Source organism: Homo sapiens, chromosome 9, assembly GCF_000001405.40.
Source record: "Homo sapiens chromosome 9, GRCh38.p14 Primary Assembly".
Taxonomy (NCBI): domain Eukaryota; kingdom Metazoa; phylum Chordata; class Mammalia; order Primates; family Hominidae; genus Homo; species Homo sapiens.
Window position 1 is genome coordinate 5470675 of NC_000009.12, and position 19256 is coordinate 5489930.

At 39.7% G+C, this 19256-nt stretch overlaps 1 long non-coding RNA gene across 1 annotated transcript in view, besides 1 other annotated feature; it reads right to left on the reverse strand.

Moving 5' to 3' along the window:
• INCR1 (interferon stimulated noncoding RNA 1) overlaps positions 1-19256 on the reverse strand; it is a 172297-nt gene that overhangs the window by 13244 nt on the left and 139797 nt on the right. The window lies entirely within an intron of this gene.
• Positions 11464-11965: an enhancer, noted in NCBI's record as "OCT4 hESC enhancer chr9:5482138-5482639 (GRCh37/hg19 assembly coordinates)". NCBI's record gives its function as "activates a minimal SCP1, AML or CMV promoter by ChIP-STARR-seq in primed H9 embryonic stem cells {active_cell/tissue: H9 hESC(primed)}" and the evidence as "EXISTENCE:reporter gene assay evidence [ECO:0000049][PMID:30033119]".

The window sequence follows — 19256 nt, forward strand, 5'->3', positions numbered from 1 at the left end:
TTTTATTTTAAAAAAGAATGTATTGAAAATTTTCATTCTCTCTCATTCGGCAGCTTCCTTTAGGACCATACCAAGAAGAGTCAAAATCCTGTCATCTACATTGAAGATCTAAGGGAGAGAGGGTGGGAGAGAAGGAGTGGAACCCAATAGAACTATAGGGAAACAAAGGGACTTACCTCTAAGAAAGTACTTTTCCCAGATCTGTAAACGGGTATGCAATCCAGTGTGTAGGAAGATAGATGTATTGCAGTCTTCAAGTTTTGAAAATAAAGCGAGGAAACTAGAACTAAGCCAAGTTGAGGATTAAGGGCTAGCAATGGTTAGGACCATAGATCTGTGGTTTTAAACAAGCATGACAAAACTTATCATTCAAGGAAGTATAGACCTTTTAATGTGTCATCCGGTGAGATTTTAGTCATGAAATTCCATTTTAAAAGACTATCACTTATTTGAATCAGATACTCTTAAAGGATTATAATGGCTATTTCTAAGAATATGTGTTTGACTCTAGATGCTTTTGTTTGTTTGTTTTTGAGACAGAGTTTTGCTCTTGTCACCCAGGCTGGAGTGCAATGGCACTATCTCAGCTCACTGCAACCTCCGCCTCCAGGTTCAACTGATTCTCCTGCCTCAGCCCCTCGAGTAGCTGGGATTACAGGCACCTGCCACCACTCCTGGCTAATTTTTGTACTTTTAGTAGAGACAGGGTTTCACAATGTTGGCCAGGCTGATCTCGAACTCCTGACCTCAGGTGATCCACCCATCTCAGCCTCCCAAAGGGCTGGGATTACAGGTGTGAGCCACGGTGCCTGGCCTCTGGATGTTTTCAGTAGTAATGATGATGCACTATTTATGCTAGCCCTTGGGCAGTCAAAGCAATAAAAATGTGTGCTAGACATCAAGATATCTGGCCTTCCTAATCAGGAAAGGATATGGAGAACTAGTCTTCCTGGCTTGCCTTGGTGGTATGGAAATTTTGTGACACTTGAGGGGTCTGTATTATAGAAAAGTTAATATGAAAATGGTTCATAAGCTTTCATTAAACTTTTGTTCTAGTCCCTTTTACAAGTGTGTGCCTGTCTGCCACAAGTAGGCCTAATATATTTTTTAAGTTTTATTTTTAATTGACATATAATTGACTTTTTTTTATTATTATACTTTAAGTTCTAGGGTACATGTGCACAAAATGTAGGTTTGTTACATATGTATACATGTGCCATGTTGGTGTGCTGCACCCATTAACTCGTCATTTACATTAGGTACATCTCCTAATACTATCCCTCCCTCCTCCCCGTACCCCACGACAGGCCCCGGTGTGTGATGTTCCCCATCCTGTGTCCAAGTGTTCTCATTGTTCATTTCCCACCTATGAGTGAGAACATGCGGTGTTTGGTTTTTTGTCCTTGCAATAGTTTGCTGAGAATGGTTTCCAGCTTCATCCACGTCCCTACAAAGGACATGAACTCATCCTTTTCTATGGCTGCATAGTATTCCATGGGGTATATGTGCCACATTTTCTTACTCCAGTCTATCATTGGTGGACATTTGGGTTGGTTCCAAGTCTTTGCTATTGTGAATAGTGCTGCAATAAACATACATGTGCATGTGTCTTTATAGCAGCATGATTTATAATCCTTTGGGTATATACCCAGTAATGGGATGGCTGGGTCAAATGGTATTTCTAGTTCTAGATCCCTGAGGAATTGCCACACTGTCTTCCACAATGGTTGAACTAGTTTACACTCCCACCAACAGTGTAAAAGCGTTCCTATTTCTCCACATCCTCTCCAGCACCTGTTGTTTCCTGACTTTTTAATGATCGCCATTCTAACTGGTGTGAGATGGTATCTCATTGTGGTTTTGATTTGTATTTCTCTGATGGCCAGTGATGGTGAGCTTTTTTTCATGTGTCTGTTGGCTGCATAAATGTCTTCTTTTGAGAAGTGTCTGTTCATATCCTTCACCCACTTTTTGATGGGGTTGTTTGATTTTTTCTTGTAGATTTGTTTAAGTTCTTTGTAGATTCTGGATATTAGCCCTTTGTCAGATGGGTAGATTGTAAAAATGTTCTCCCATTCTGTAGGTTGCCTGTTCACTCTGATGGTAGTTTCTTTTGCTGTGCAGAAGCTCTTTAGTTTAATTAGATCCCATTTGTCAATTTTGGCTTTTGTTGCCATTGCTTCCAGTGTTTTAGTCATGAAGTCCTTGCCCATGCCTATGTCCTGAATGGTATTGCTTAGGTTTTCTTCTAGGGTATTTATGGTTTTAGGTCTAACATTTAAGTCTTTAATCCATCTTGAATTAATTTTTGTATAAGGTGTAAGGAAGGGATCCAGTTTCAGCTTTCTACATATGGCTAGCCAGTTTTCCCAGCACCATTTATTAAATAGGGAATCCTTTCCCCATTTCTTGTTTTTGTCAGGTTTGTCAAAGATCAGATGGTTGTGGATGTGTGGTATTATTTCTGAGGGCTCTGTTCTGTTCCATTGGTCTAGATCTCTGTTTCAGTACCAGTACCATGCTGTTGTGGTTACTGTAGCCCTATAGTATAGTTTGAAGTCAGGTAGCGTGATGCCTCCAGCTTTTTTCTTTTGGCTTAGGATTGTCTTGGCAATGCAGGCTCTTTTTTGATTCCATATGAACTTTAAAGTAGTTTTTTCCAATTCTGTGAAGAAAGTCATTGGTAACTTGATGGGGATGGCATTGAATCTATAAATTACCTTGGGCAGTAGGGCCATTTCACGATATTGATTCTTCCTATCCATGAGCATGGAATGTTCTTCCTTCGGTTTGTGTCCTCTTTTATTTCATTGAGCAGTGGTTTGTAGTTCTCCTTGAAGAGGTCCTTCACATCCCTTATAAGATGGATTCCTAGGTATTTTATTCTCTTTGAAGCAATTGTGAATGGGAGTTCACTCATGATTTGGCTCTGTGTTTGTCTGTTGTTGGTGTATAGGAACGCTTGTGATTTTTGCACATTGATTTTGTATCCTGAGACTTTGCTGAAGTTGCTTATCAGCTTAAGGAGATTTTGCGCTGAGACGATGGGGATTTCTAAATACACAATCATGTCATCTGCAAACAGGGACAATTTGACTTCCTCTTTTCCTAACTGAATACCCTTTATTTCTTTCTCTTGTCTGACTGCCCTGGCCAGAACTTCCAACACTGTGTTGAATAGGAGTGGTGAGAGAGGACATCCCTGTCTTGTGCCAGTTTTCCAAGGGAATTCTTCCAGTTTTTGCCCATTCAGTATGATATTGGCTGTGGATTTGTCATAACTAGCTCTTATTATTTTGAGATACGTCCCATCAATACCTAGTTTATTGAGAGTTTTTAGCATGAAGCGCTGTTGAATTTTGTCGAAGGCCTTTTCTGCATCTATTGAGATAAACATATAGTTTTTGTCTTTGGTTCTGTTTATATGATGGATTACGTTTATTGATTTGCGTTACGTTGAACCAGCCTTGCATCCCAGGGATGAAGCCAACTTCATGGTGGTGGATAAGCTTTTTGATGTGCTGCTGGATTCAGTTTGCCAGTATTTTACTGAGGATTTTTGCATCGACGTTCATCAGGGATATTGGTCTAAAATTCTCTTTTTTTGTTGTGTCTCTGCCAGGCTTTGGTATCAGGATGATGCTGGCCTTATAAAATGAGTCAGGGAGGATTCCCTCTTTTTCTATTGATTAGCATAGTTTCAGAAGGAATGGTACCAGCTCCTCTTTGTACCTCTGGTAGAATTCAGCTGTGAATCCATCTTGTCCTGGACTTTTTTTGGTTGGTAGGCTATTAATTATTGCCTCAATTTCAGAGCATGTTATTGGTCTATTCAGAGATTCAAATTCTTCCTGGTTTAGTCTTGGGAGGGTGTATGTGTCCAGGAATTTATCCATTTCTTCTAGATTTTCTAGTTTATTTACGTAGAGGTATTTATATTATTCTCTGATAGTAGTTTGTATTTCTGTGGGATCAGTAGTGATATCCCCTTTATCATTTTTTATTGCATCTATTTGATTTTTCTCTCTTTTCTTCTTTATTAGTCTTGCTAGCGGTCTATCAATTTTGTTGATCTTTTCAAAAAACCAGCTCCTGGATTCATTGATTTTTTGAAGGGTTTTTCATGGCTCTATCTCCTCCAGTTCTGCTCTGATCTTAGTTATTTCTTGCCTTCTGCTAGCTTTTGAATGTGTTTGCTCTTGCTTCTCTAGTTCTTTTAATTGTGAGGTTAAGGTGTCAATTTTAGATCTTTCCTGGTTTCTCTTGTGGGCATTTAGTGCTCTAAATTTCCCTCTCCACACTGCTTTAAATGTGTCCCAGAGATTCTGGTATGTTGTGTCTTTGTTCTCGTTGGTTTCAAAGAACATCTTTATTTCTGCCTTCATTTTGTTATGTACCCAGTAGTCATTCAGGAGCAGGTTGTTCAGTGTTTAGTTTCCATGTAGTTGAGCAGTTTTGAGTGAGTTTCTTAATCCTGAGTTCTAGTTTGATTGCACTGTGGTCTGAGAGACAGTTTGTTATAATTTCTGTTCTTTTACATTTGCTGAGGAGTGCTTTACTTCCAACAATGTGGTCAGTTTTGGAGTAAGTGTGATGTGGTGCTGAGAAGAATGTATATTCTGTTGATTTGTGGGGAGAGTTCTGTAGATGTCTATTACATCCACTTGGTGCAGAGCTGAGTTCAAGTCCTGGATATTCTTGTTAACTTTCTGTCTCATTGATCTGTTAATGTTGACAGTGGGGTGTTAAAGTCTCCCATTATTATTGTGTGGGAGTCTAAGTCTCTTTGTAGGTCTCTAAGGACTTGCTTTATGAATCTGGGTGCTCCTGTACTAGGTGCATATATATTTAGGATAGTTAGCTCTTCTTGTTGAATTGATCCCTTTACCATTACATAATGGCCTTCTTTGTCTCTTTTGATCTTTGTTGGTTTAAAGTCTGTTTTATCAGAGACTAGGATTGCAACCCCTGCTTTTCTTTGTTTTCCATTTGCTTGGTAGATCTTCCTCCATCCCTTTATTTTGAGCCTATGTGTGTCTCTGCACGTGAGATGGGTCTCCTGAATACAGCACACTGATGGGTCATGACCCTTTATCCAATTTGCTAGTCTGTGTCTTTTAATTGGATCATTTAGCCCATTTACATTTAAGGTTACTATTGTTATGTGTGAATTTGATCCTGTCATTATGATGTTAGCTGGTTATTTTGCGCATTAGTTGATGCAGTTTCTTCCTAGCATTGATGGTCTTTACAATTTGGCATGTTTTTGCAGTGGCTGGTACTGGTTGTTCCTTTCCATGTTTAGTGCTTCCTTCAGGAGCTCTTGTAATGCAGGCCTGGTGGTGACAAAATCTCTCAGCATTTGCTTGTCTATAAAGGATTTTATTTCTCTTTCACTTATGAAGCTTAGTTTGGCTGGATATGAAATTCTGGGTTGAAAATTCTTTTCTTTAGGAATGTTGAATATTGGCCCCCACTCTCTTCTGGCTTGTAGAGTTTCTGCTGAGAGATCCGCTGTTAGTCTGATGGGCTTCCCTTTGTGGGTAACTCGACCTTTCTCTCTGGCTGCCCTTAACATTTTTTCCTTCATTTCAATTTTGGTGAATTTGAAAATTATGTGTCTTGGAGTTGCTCTTCTCAAGAAGTATCTTTGTGGTGTTCTCTGTATTTCCTGAATTTGAATGTTGGCCTGCCTTGCTAGGTTGGGGAAGTTCTCCTGGATAATATCCTGAAGAGTGTTTTCCAACTTGGTTCCATTCTCACCATCACTTTCAGGTACACCAGTAAGACGTAGATTTGGTCTTTTCACATAGTCCCATATTTCTGGGAGGTTTTGTTCATTTCATTTTACTCTTTTTTCTCTAAACTTCTCTTCTTGCTTCATTTCATTCATTTGATCTTCAATCACTGATACCCTTTCTTCCAGTTGATCGAATTGGCTATTGAAGCTTGTGCATGTGTCACATAGTTCTCATGCCATGTGTTTTCAGCTTCATCCAGTCATTTAAGGTCTTCTCTATGCTGTTTATTATAGTTAGCCATTTGTCTAATCTTTTTTCAAGGTTTTTAGCTTGTTTGCGATGGGTTCAAACATCCTCCTTTAGCTCAGAGAAGTTTGTTATTACCAGTAGTCTGAAGCCTTCTTCTGTCAACTCGTCAAAGTCATTCTCCGTCCAGCTTTGTTCCATTTCTGGTGAGGAGCTGCGTTCCTTTGGAGAAGAAAAGGTGCTCTGATTTTTAGAATTTTCAGCTTTTCTGCTATAGTTTCTCCCCATCTTTGTGGTTTTATCTACCTTTGGTCTTTGATGATGGTGATGTACAGATGGGGTTTTGGTGTGGATGTCCTTTCTGTTTGTTAGTTTTCCTTCTGACAGTCAGCACCCTCAGCTGCAGGTCTGATGGAGTTTGCTGGAGGTCCACTCCAGATCCTATTTGCCTGTGTTTCACCAGTGGAGGCTTCAGAACAGCAAATATTGTAGAACAGCAGATGCTGCTGCCTGATCCTTCCTCTGGAAGCTTCATCTCAGAGGGGCACCCGGCTGTATGAGGTGTCAGTCGGCCCCTACTGGGAGGTGCCTCCCAGTTAGGCTACTCAGGGGACAGGAACCCACTTGAGGAGGCAGTCTGTCCGTTCTCAGATCTCAAACTCCGTGCTGGGAGAAACACTACTCTCTTCAAAGCTGTCAGTCAGACAGAGACATTTAAGTCTGCAGAAGTTTCTGCTGCCTTTTGTTCAGCTATGCCCTGTCCCAAGAAGTGGAGTCTAAAGAGGCAGGCAGGCCTCGTTGAGCTGCAGTGGGCTCCACGCAGTTCGAGCTTCCGTGTCGCTTTGTTTACCTACTCAAGCCTCAGCAATGACGGGCACCCCTCCCCCAGCCTCCCTACCACCTTGCAGTTGGATCTCAGACTGCTGTGCTAGCAGTGAGTGAGGCTCCATGGGCATGGGACCCTCCGAGCCAGGCGCGGGATACAATCTCCTGGTGTGCTGTTTGCTAAAAACCATTGGAAAAGTGCAGTATTAGGGCGGGAGTGTCCCGGTTTTCCAGGTACTGTCTGTAATGGCTTCCCTTGGCTAGGAAAGGGAATTCCCCGACCCCTTGCACTTCCTGGGTGAGGCAATGCCCTGCCATGCTTCGGCGCACCCTCCATGGGCTGCACCCACTGTCTGTCAAGCCCCAGTGAAATGAACCCAGTACCTCAGTTGGAAATGCAGAAATCACCCATCTTCTGCGTCACTCACACTGGGAGCTATAGACTGGAGCTGTTCCTATTTGGCCATCTTGGAATCTCCCTACCCATTTTCCATAATTGACATATTTATAGGGTACAGTGTAATGTTTTGATAGAAGTATACATTGTGTAATTATCAAATCAGGGTAATTAGCATATTCTTTTCCTCAAATATTTATCATTTATTTGTGATAAGAACATTCAAAATATTCTCTCCTAGTTATTTTGAGTTATACAGTATAATACTGTTAACCACAGTCACCCTATGTATTAGTCCATTTTCACAGTGTTATAAAAATACTACCTGAGACTAGGTAATTTATAAAGGAAAGAAGTTTAATTGACTCAAAGTTCTGTATGGTTGGGGAGGCCTCAGGAAACTCACAATCATGGTGGAAGGGGAAGCAGTCACCTTCCTCACAAGGCAGTAAGAGGAGAGAGAGCAAAGAGGGAAGAGCCCTTTATGAAACTATCAGCTCTTATGAGAATTAACTCACTATCATGAGAACAGGATGGGGGAAACCACCCCCATGATACAATCACCTCCCTCCCTCAACACGTGGGGATTACAAGTTTCTCCCATGACATGTGGGGATCACAATTCGAGATGAGATTTGTGTGAGGACAGAGCCAAACTGTATCACCCTACTATGCAATAGAACACCAGAACTTATTCCTTCTATCTAACTATAAGTTTGTACCTGTTGACCGATCTCTACTAATCTCCCCTCCTCATGCCCCCAACCCTCTCCAGCCTCTGGTAACCACTACCCTACTTTCTACTTCTGTGATATCAACCTTTTAACATTCCACATATGAGTGAGATCATTTAGTATTTGTGTTTCTTTGCCTGGCTATTTCACTTAACATAATTATCCTCTAGTTTTATCCATGTTGCCACAAATGACAGGATTTCATTTGTTATGGCTGAATACTATTCTATTTTGTGTGTGTGTGTGTGTGTGTGTGTGTGTGTGTGTGTGTGTGTGTACACCACATTTTTTCTTTCTTTTTTTTTTTTAAAGAGATGGAGTCTTGCTATGTTGCCTAGGCTGGCCTTGAACTCCTATCGTCCCACCCACAGCCTCCAGAGTAGCTGGGAATATAGGCACATGCCACTGCACCTGGCTTATATACCACCTTTTCCTCATCCATTCATCTGTTGATGGACACTTAAGTTGATTCCATAGCTTCACTATTGTGAATAGTGCTGCAATAAACCTAGCAGTGTAGATGTCTATTTATGTCTTTATTTATTTAACTATTTTATTTATTTATTCTTTATTTAACTATTTTAAAGCTGAGAAATTCAAAATTAACTTTTGTTCTATTGATATATTTGGCCAAATTTGTTAAGACAGATACACCTGTTTTTAGAATTTTTCCTATCCCAGGCTTCCAAAGTTTCAAGAAAATTGATATAATAAACCAACTTATTCCCATTATAATTTAAACATTTCCGAAATTATTTCCATTTTAAAAGAAGTTAATGTTTGACCAATGAAGCAATTGTCAATGATGGGGTTTTATTATGAGTTTAATAATGATATTTACCATTTATTGAGCATGTACCTTATGCAAGGTCTTCATCTGTCAATCATCTCTTCTTTCTGCAAATACAAGACTTAGCAAGCTTGGAGTAAGTTATGAATGCTAACATATGTGAGATCAAATAGTCTCTTTCTAGGGCACTGAAGGTCTTTGGGGACTTAAAAACTCGATTACAATGATTCAGTCATATAAGAGAAAATTGCAACACACACACACACATAAAACAGAAAAGAACTATTTGTACATGCCAGGAAACACTGCTCTAAGAGTTGCTTTATTCTAGGTGACTATGAAAGGAAAAAAAAAATCTAACTATAGAGAAGTTAAAAAATGTACATATATTTGGGAAGAATAGGAAATTTCACCAAAGGCCTGGAGTCACTCAAACCCGAGTTCCAATCTTCTTAGATGTAAATTAACTTCATTGAACCAGTTTACTTTAAAAATTCTTGTTTTTATTAAAAATTTCAATTACTATTAAAATTATATTTTTAATTAAAAATACTTTAAAAATTAAAGTGTATAGTTTTTCTATTTATCTTAAATATTCAAATAATTGTGAATTAAAGTTGTGCCAGCTTGAAGATTTAAAGTGATAGGCTTAATAATTTTGGAACTTTTCTTAATGTCAAAGTTAACTAGAGCTTCTTTTCTTTTTCAAATTACACATTTAAAATTCCGGCATCAGTTCCTTTTTGAGTCATCTAGGTCTCTCACGTCAGTAAATATTGAGCTACTGTAAAGCTGAAGTTACTTACGTAGTAACATAACTTACTTAGGGGAGATTTGTAAATGTTTATTTTGGATAAGCTATGTCTTATTTTTGTTTTGCTTTTGAGAAAGATACTTCTCATTCTTTGCTAATTTCAAACAAACAGCTTTATAGTAGAAAGCAATTATTTCTATAACTCAAGTTAAATAATTCTGTCTATTCTTTAGTCAAATTGAAAATAAGACATAACAAAACAATGACCCCCTTGCCTTGGTTTCTAACTTTTCAGAGGTGAACACAACCATAAATGGTAACTAACTTACAGTAGTGCCTACTGTATCCACTAAGCATTATGTAGAATACAGAGGTGACCCAGACATGCACCCTGCCCTTAAAAAACATGAAGATTGAAACATATTATCATGATTTACAGGCATAGCTCCTCCTCCTCCAAAAACAAAACAATACAAAACACACAAATAACTGTGTTTGTCAGAAATACAGACACCAAGTGTTAAAATGTCAGAAAATAGGGCAGCTTGAACTCAACCTTTGCACTCTCTAGCACTTGAATTATATTTTATCAAACCTTTGTTAAGTTAGTTCATGTATTTTGGTGCCTCAGTGGTTCTAATCCAAGTATAGTATTTTTGTAGATCCATCTGTCCCAGTGCTGCATAACAGCACTAGAACATGTGGAAGAGATTTAACAAATAGTATTAGCTATGATATGTATATATTAGTATATATTACATGTCAGGAAGTGTTCTGAGTTCTTTACGTGTACTAATTCATTTAGCCTTCCCAATAACCCTATGCGGAAAGTTATTACCATCTTCTCTTGACAGATAAAGAAACCAAGCCACAGAAAGTTTAGGTAACTTGGCCGAAGTCATGCTACTAATAAGTTATGGCCCCAGGATGTGAGCACAGTTTGACTTCACAGTTTGCTCTTATACCCTACACTATGCTACCCCTAAATAATTATTCGAGTCATGTTAATGAGGGGATTTTAAAAACTTGACAGTATTGGAACAGTATATATAGTAAGCTGATACTTCCCTGGGTTGGACAACTCCAGAAGCAATCTGATGTTTGTTTGCCTGTATATTTTTGTTTTTCTAGGCAATGGGGGCTAATCTCACTAGTACTTCTGTAGACTGTCTAGCATATGTCTTTCGGTGAATCTTTGAACTCGTTTTCCATTTGGTATATATCTGATGGTACAATTGCTGAATTCTTGGTATATACATAAGAATAGAATTTCTAGGTCATGGTATAGGATTGCTGGAAACTGTACCAATTTGCATTCCCACCAGCAGGGCATAGGAGTTCCAGTTGCCTTGCATTTTTCCCAATATTTTCTGCCTCTTTCATTTTAGGTGACTATGCAGAGACATCACATTTTGGTTTTAATTTGCATGACTCTGATGACTAATGGAGTCAAACTCATTTTCATATATTTATTGGCCATTTGTCAATAAAGTTTTATGAGGTGTCTTTTCAAGTGATTTGCCCATTTTTTAAATTAGGTTTTCTGCCTAATTCCTAATTGTGTAGGAATTCTTAGCGTATTCTAGATACAAGCCCTTCGTCAGAGACATAAACTGAAAATCTCTTCTCCCATTCTGCAGGATGTCTGTTCTCTCTTCACGGAGTCTTTTGAGGAAGTGAAGTTCTTACTTTACATAGTTCAATTTACCAATTTTTTTCCTCATGGCTAGCACTTTTTTGTGTCCTGTGTAAGCAAACTTTGCCTACTCCAAGGTCATGAAGATTTCTTCCATGTTTTCTTCTAAATCTCTATCATTTTATTTTTCACATTTAGATCTGTAATCCTTCTGGAATTATTTTTTTGCATATGGTGTGAGATAGGAGTTAAAATACATTTTCATGTGGACATTCAATTGTCCCTACACCATTTACTGAAAATACCATCCTTTCCCCCACTATACTGCAGTGTCACCTTTCTCATAAACTAGTTGACTATATCTATACCTATGTCTCTATCTATGTCTATCTACCTACCTGTATATATCTGTTTATGGAGTCTGTTCTATTACATTGATCAGCTCATTTGTTTTTTTTTTTTGTCTAGAAAATTTTGCTAAAGCAGTATTAATGAGTTTGAATCTTGCCTCTTGGGGCTGTGACAACACTTCAGGTTGTGATTCCTCACCTGCAGCCCTATCCATGCCATGGCAACCACCGAGGCATCCATCCTGTGGTTATCTATACAATGCATAATAAAGACCTCAGCTGGCCTCGGCGGCTCACGCCTGTAATCCCAGCACTTTGGGAGGCCAAGGCAGGCAGATCACGTGAGCACAGGAGTTCGAGACTAGCCTGAGTAACACGGCAAAACCCCATCTCTCCAAAAAATAAAAAAATTAGCTGAGCATGGTGGCATGCGCCTGTAATCCCAGCCACTCAGGAAGCAGAGGTGGGAGGATTTCTTGAGCCTGGGCTATCGAGGTTGCAGTGAGCCGAGATCGCGCCACTGCACTCCAGCCTCGATGACAGAGTGAGACTCTGTCGGAAAAAAAAAAAAAAAAGATAACCTCTATCTCCCACTGCTTTCCCTTCCCACCGTCACCCCAAGTTTCTGTCATTTCTTTGAATTTGTTATTTGACTTTCCACAAGTATAAAAGTACACTTGTATCATTTATTTTAGGTATTGGATATCTTCCCTTCCTTATGTATTATTTTAAAAGCAGCTAAATAAAAAATTTAGCTTGGTTTTTGTTGTTGTTGTTGTTGTTTTGTTTTTTTGGTTTTTTGAGACGGAGTCTCGCTCCATTGCCCAGGCTGGAGTTCAGTGACATGATCTCAGCTCACTGCAACCTCTGCCTCACAGGTTCAAGAGATTCTCCTGCCTCAGCCTTCTGAGTAGCTGGGACTACAGGTGCATGCCACCACGCTTGGCTAATTTTTTTTTTTTTGTATTTTTAGTAGAGACGGGGTTTAATGTAGCCTTCAAATAATTTTTTTAACTATAAATTCAGTGGCTTTTGATTTTTCAAAAAGAGTCTCCACTCTTACCTAAAACTACAATGGGTATTTGAATTCTAGAAGGAGGTGATTTTATTCCAAACTGATAATCACTATAAAACATTATGTCTTTTCTACTGGAAATAGAAATACAGTGTATATAGATGTTTGTTAGACATCTCTAATAAAAAAATGAGTATTGTATATAACTGAGCCTTCCTAGAATGTTTGCCCACAGCCACAGTGTTATAGCAGTTCATATTATCTCTCTCATGGTCACATGTTAGAAGTAGAGTCATGTAGCAGTATGCAAGCAAATCCCCTGTTGGGATGCCTGTTGGCTTCAGATTAGCTCACTTACTGGGCAAAACAGAGACTATGGGCAATGCCCAACATTTCCTCATTTCTCATAATGGCTTATCAAATTCCCAGTCACAAGAGCTAAAACCTTAGAACAATCTTTTACTCTTCCCTCTTCCCCATGGCACAGCTTTAACATCGACTGAAGCTTCTTTTATAGAATTGTTTCTCCGGTTCCTTTTTTGTGAATTTATTGTTACTATTCTCTCTCAAACTTCATATAGGATGTTGACAGTGACTTAAGCAATAAGAAAGATTATCACATAAAACAAAACAAAACAAACAAACAACAGCAACAACAACAAAAAATATATATATACACACACACAGGTAGGATGGCCCTGTCCCTGCTTCTCTGCGATCCTCTTTGTTCTACCCTACTGGTGGATCTATACCCAAACTGGCAGCAAGATAGCTTGGCAGTTCCAGGTTACACCTAGCAGACCACATCTCATGTCTCACTGGCCAGAGTCAGGTCACATACCCATCTTTAAGACAGTTGTTGGCAAGGATTTACCCTGGAGCCAGGGATGAAACCATCTTCCCCTGAGTCACATGGGAAAGGACACCTGAACAAAATTAGCGTCTTGTCACCATAGGGAATGGGCTCTGAATGCTGGTGGATAATCAACAGTGTCAGCTCCAGACTCTAACCACTTCACTTAGATAACTGCAGCCACCTCTTAACTGTGGTCCCTGCCTCCAGTTTTTGGCTCCATCTTCTCAACATGTATAATGAAGCCAGTACAATTCTCCTTAAACACACTGCTGTCATGACAGCACTTTCTTGGTCAGGGGGCCTAGGTGGCTTCACTGTGACTGATGGACAAAATTCGAACACCTTGGCCTCCCCATTCAAGATGTCCACAACCAGACTCCAACCTATCCCTTATCCTTCCTTCTCCCTAGTTCCTTACAACAGGGGTGGTAGTAAATATATCAGGCTTTGTGGACCATGTGGTCTCTGTCACAATTACAGTAATATTCCCCTCATCTGTACAGTAGAATAAGTTGTTCTGAGAAGAAGAAGGAGAAAGAGAGAGAGACCACATTCATACCACCTTTATTACAGTACGTTGTTATAATTGTCCTTTTTTTTTTTTTTTTTTTAACTCTTGTCTTGCTATGTTGCCCAAGCTGGTCTTGAACTCCTGGGCTCAAGTAATCCACACACCTCGGCCTCCCAAAGGGCTGGAATTACAGGCACGAGCCACTGCACCTGGCCCGAATTGTTCTATTTTATTAGTAGTAATTGTTGTTAATCTCTTACTGTGCCTAATGTATAAACTTTATCTTTTCTTTGCTTATCTGTCTTTCCACAAGTATAAAAGTATACTTTTACCATTTATTTTATGTATTGGATATCTCTCTAAACAAATCACAGGTATGTATGCATAGGAAAAAACACAGTATGTGTAGGGTTTGGTACTATGCACAGTTTCAGGCATTCACTTGGGGATCTTGGAACATAACCCCTGCAGATAAGGAGGGGACTACTGTAGTCAATTCTTCCCTTGTAGTGCAAAAGCAGCCATGCACAATACAATACAAATGAATGTGACTGTATTCCAATAAAACTTTATTTACGAAACAGGCAGTAAACTAAATTTGGCCCACAGGACACACTTTAACAATCCCTGCCTTACATGAAATCCCTTACTCCACTAGGCCCTAAGTTGGTAAAATCAACACTCCATTGGAGCCACAAAGATGACAACATAATGGTATGGGGAAGTCCTACCTACACAGGACATCTGGCAGGGTCCGGGCTTCATGTCTGACATATCGTCAAGAGTTACATTGGCAATGAGACTAGTTTTCGTAAATTTATTCAGTTTGATCATTCAGCTGATTCAAAGATCAAAAGATCCTTTAGGGCTGTGTTTTCTGACCTTTTTAAGGCTGTGGTACATGGATTTGTTAGGCTAACTGAGACAAATAAATGAGTTTGTCTCTTCACTATGCTGATAATACCTTGGCAAGTCATCAGTCAAGCTCTTTTTCTCACCCTTACCCCCAGATCTACACCCTGCTCCTACAATCTTATCTCTGTCTCCTTCTCCCTTCTAAAAGAAACCTGATGAAACAAAAAGAAGAAACCCAGAGATAATAATACACCCAAGATCATACTGATAGACCTACATGTGCCAAACATTGGTTGAGAAATAATGTCTTGTGATCCACAATAATCAGTACCAAAAATCCAAGTACTTCACGCGGTCTTAGGAAACAAATATGTGGGAAAGGCTGAGGCTTGGCTTATTTAGTTAGCTTTTGTTTTAGAACTACATAAACAGAGAGTGTAAATAGTAACCTGATTAAAAATACGGACTTTAGGGTTAGTTTATCTGGGTTTGAATTCTGGTTCTGCTGCTTCCTGTTTATCTGACCTTTGGTAAGTGACTTAACTTCTTTGTGTCTCTATTTCTTCATCTACGTATCTGACCCAGAGAGTTGTTAGGATAATTATGTGAATTAATATGTGCAAAAATTTAAAAATAGGGCCTATCACATTGTTAACAGCATATATGAGTTGGTAAAAGGATATATATATATGTTGCGTCTTAGGCATGGAGTAAAATTCATGTAAACAAAAAAACAGAGTGAATATTCACTTAGGCAGGCAGTCTGCTCCATGTAATCATTCAAGGATTCAGATAGACAACGGCTCTGCCATCTTCAACATGTGGTCTTCAAATTTTCCCTGGAGGTCTCCATACAGTTAAATAGACTAGAAGGGCATACAGAATCTCAGTGGGAGATTTTTATGCGCTAGATTTAGGAATGATGCGCATAATTTCCTTTCACATTCCATTAGTTAGAATTTAGTCACATGACCATAACCTAATCCCAAGGGAGACTGGAAAATGTAGGGTAGCTTCCCAGGAGGAAGAGGAGTATATAGATTTGATGGAAGACCTATCAGAATTGGTTATAACTGAGTATCTGGACAACACCATATTGGTACTGGTATCCTAGCAAGAAAAGTGTACATTGAATTGTAGTATCTATAGTGCCATTAGCCTTTCATGAAGTTATTTTAATAAAACAACTTTTTTGAAACTAGTTATTAAATACGGTCTAAAAATAATGATGAGGAACTCTTTATTTCATTACCTAGTGTGCTTTCTAAAGAACACTAGGAAAAATTTCCCTTTGACCTTAATACAAACACACAAACACAAAATAGTTGTGTTTCCCCGAGTGAAAAGTTGCTTAGCTTTGCCCCTGCTCCCCAAATCTTGGAAATATTATTAATTGTTTAACTGTCCAAGCTTGGCTTAGAAAGCTTAGAATCAATTTTATTCTTTCACTCAACTAATTTACTGAGCATTTACTACATGTCAAACTTCAAGCTAGACACTGAGGATTCAAGAGGGAACAAGACAGACATGGTTCTTGCCCTCATGGAATTCACATTCTAATAAGGGGTCAAGGAAGTGGATGTGTGGAAACATATAACGAATAAACAAATGACTATATAAATGCAGCAATACCAATCAATAAGGGACCAAGCTAAATAATTGCCAAATTGGGAACCAATTTTAAATGGGATGGCTGGGACAGGGGCTTCTTCAAAAAGGTTGAATTTAAACCGAGCCAGCCATACAAAAGGGCGTACCCCCAGCAGGAGGCACAATGTGCACAGGAGCTTTGATGAGAGATTGAGTTAAGGAGTTCAAGGGCTAGAAAGGAGGCCAGGGTGACTAGAGAGTGGAGAGCAGAGCAGGGAGGGGCACAAGATGAGACTGTGCATCACGCAGGCCCGTGACAGCCATGGTGAAGAGTCCAAATTCTGTTCTAAATGCGGTGGGAAGTGGTTGCAAGTTTTTGTTTGTTTGTTTTTGTTTTTGTTTTGAGACAGAGTCTCGCTCTGTCACCAGGCTGGAGTGTAGTGGTGCAATCTCGGCTCACTGCAACATCTGCCCCTCGAGTTCAAGCGATTCTCCTGCCTCAGCCTCCCAAGTGGCTGGCACTCCAGGTGCACTCCACCACGCCCAGCTAATTTTTGTATTTTTAGTAGAGATGGGGTTTCACCATGCTGGCCAGGATGGTTTCGATCTCTTGACCTTGTGATCCACCCGCCTCGGCCTCCCAAAGTGCTGGGATTACAGGCGTGAGCCACCGTGCCCGGTCAGTTGCAAGTTTTAAGTAGGGGGAAATGATTGATCCAGCTTGTGTTATGAGATCATTTGGGCTGCAGTGTGGAGGAAGAACTAAAAGGACATGGAAGCAGGAGGACAGCCAGGTGATGGGTGTCGTAAGCCTGGGAAATGTGATGGTAATACAAGCATGTCAAGCCCGCAGATCCTGACAGTAAGCATGCCTTCCTGACTTGTGCCCGGGGAGAGGAGGCGACAGTGATTCTGACCTCTTCTTATTTCCCTCCCTTTCTAGCGCCACTTTCCTGAGCTTTTTTACTGTATGTTATGTATACCGTATGCTGTATGCTGTATGCTGTATGCTGTATCTAACAGCCCTTGTAAACAGCCTTAAATCCTTTCTAAACATCCTGGATAGTCCTAGAATCCTAGAATATGGATTCTTTCTTGGTTTCAAAACTGATTTCATTATATTGCATGGAAAGAAGAAATGTCTTTATTGTAGAGTGTTGGTATTTCTGGGTAGGTTGATTCAAAGATTAAGTTGTGAGGGCAGTTGGGACTTTTAGAGAAAGTGGATCTAGAAAATCTAAATTGTTACTAAGAAATATTGATGAATGTAGGTCATGGAGCTCAGAAAGAAGTATCTCTTTGATATTTTTCCTAAACTATGTGAAAGGGAAGCAATGGGAAATTTCGTGAACGGAGTCAGGAAAGCCTCAAGTTGGGTGGCTAGGAAGGGTAGAGGAGTTGCTATTAGGGAACCGAGGAGTGAATGTGGAGATGGTGAAGTGAGACAGGAGGCTGCTTCCTCAAAAGTCAGGACAGTTATGAGAATGCTCTGGTTTGAATGTCAAGATGTTACTGGAAATGAATAACTACAAATACACGCATGTTCATGCACACACACATACACAAACACATGAAGCTATTGAAAAGAATATGCAGCAAATGTGTTTTGTAAGTGAGCTAGTATCTAGTTGAAGTACCATGATCATCTTTAAAATCTCTTGCTAGAAGAGGAATGTTGACTGCCCAGTGTGGGTGTGGATAGGGAATGAATATCCTCGCTGTGGTATCCATAATTGAAATGCACTGTGCCTCATCTCCAGACCAGCCCTTACAGCAGTGCCAATCTCCTTCTTGTCCACTGCACAATAGCTCGCTGACTCTGCCTACTCTTTGGTCAGTTTCCCGGATATCCTTGTCTCTTCATTCTTAGTACATCACATCATTACTCAGGCCTCTTGCCTGGGCCCCTGGCAGCTTTAGGTACCTCATTCAGCGCAACTGTTTTCCTGTTTTCTTGAGCAGTGAGGTCATAATTTCATGACCTTGGATACACATTGCGTGAAGTAAAATGTTTATTAAGTCAGATGAATTAATAACATTTTCAGGAAGTTCATAATTGATGGAGACAAATTACATATGTACCATACATCAACACACACACACACAGAATGTGCACACTCAGGAGAGATTAATAGTGTGTATGTTTATTAGATATAAAGCAGCTGTAGCCTATGAAGAAAGGACAGAAGAAACAGCGAGGTACAGGAACTAGAGTCGACAAAGAAGAAAAGCAAAGATGCCCACATACATCCTACTTTTAATGCAAAGCTTGTCTCTGCTGGATAACATCACAAATCCCCCAACTAAAATCACCAATTGTTCTGTCCCTAAAGATATCTTTCTAGTTCTCAATCCCAGGCCAGGTGGGGCTCTATTTAACTCTCTTTTATTTAATCCACTTTTGATCACTCTTAGGAAGTTTCACTTTACTCAACAAGCTCAAGATTGATCACCCTTGACTTTATCTGTTTATCTTAGGAGTGTTTGGTTGAAGACAGAACCACAGATGCCCATTATTACTAGTATTATCATAACAATAAAGAGGAGCAATAGTAAATAAAGGAAACCCAGAGCCAGATTATCGGGACTTAAATCTGTTTTCCCACTTTTGTGATGTTTGACCTTCAGCAAATTATCTACCTTCTCTATGCCTCCGTTTCCCTATTCATAAAATGGAAACAATGAAAGTACCTACCTCGTAGGGTTTTTGTGAGAGTTAAATGGGTTCATACACATAAAGTACTTGGATCTGCCCTGGCAATATTTAGACCTCTGTGAATAGTAACCTGTATTACTGCGTTTCAGTTAGGAATGACTAAATGTTGCGGCAAACTGCACATTCTGTTGACCCTTCCTGGTCACTGCTCACCCATCCGAAGCCTGTGTAATACAATATTCAACTCTGAAACTGCATCTAAGGTGGCCAGGAAGGAAAGCTGGAGGGAAATGTGTAGAC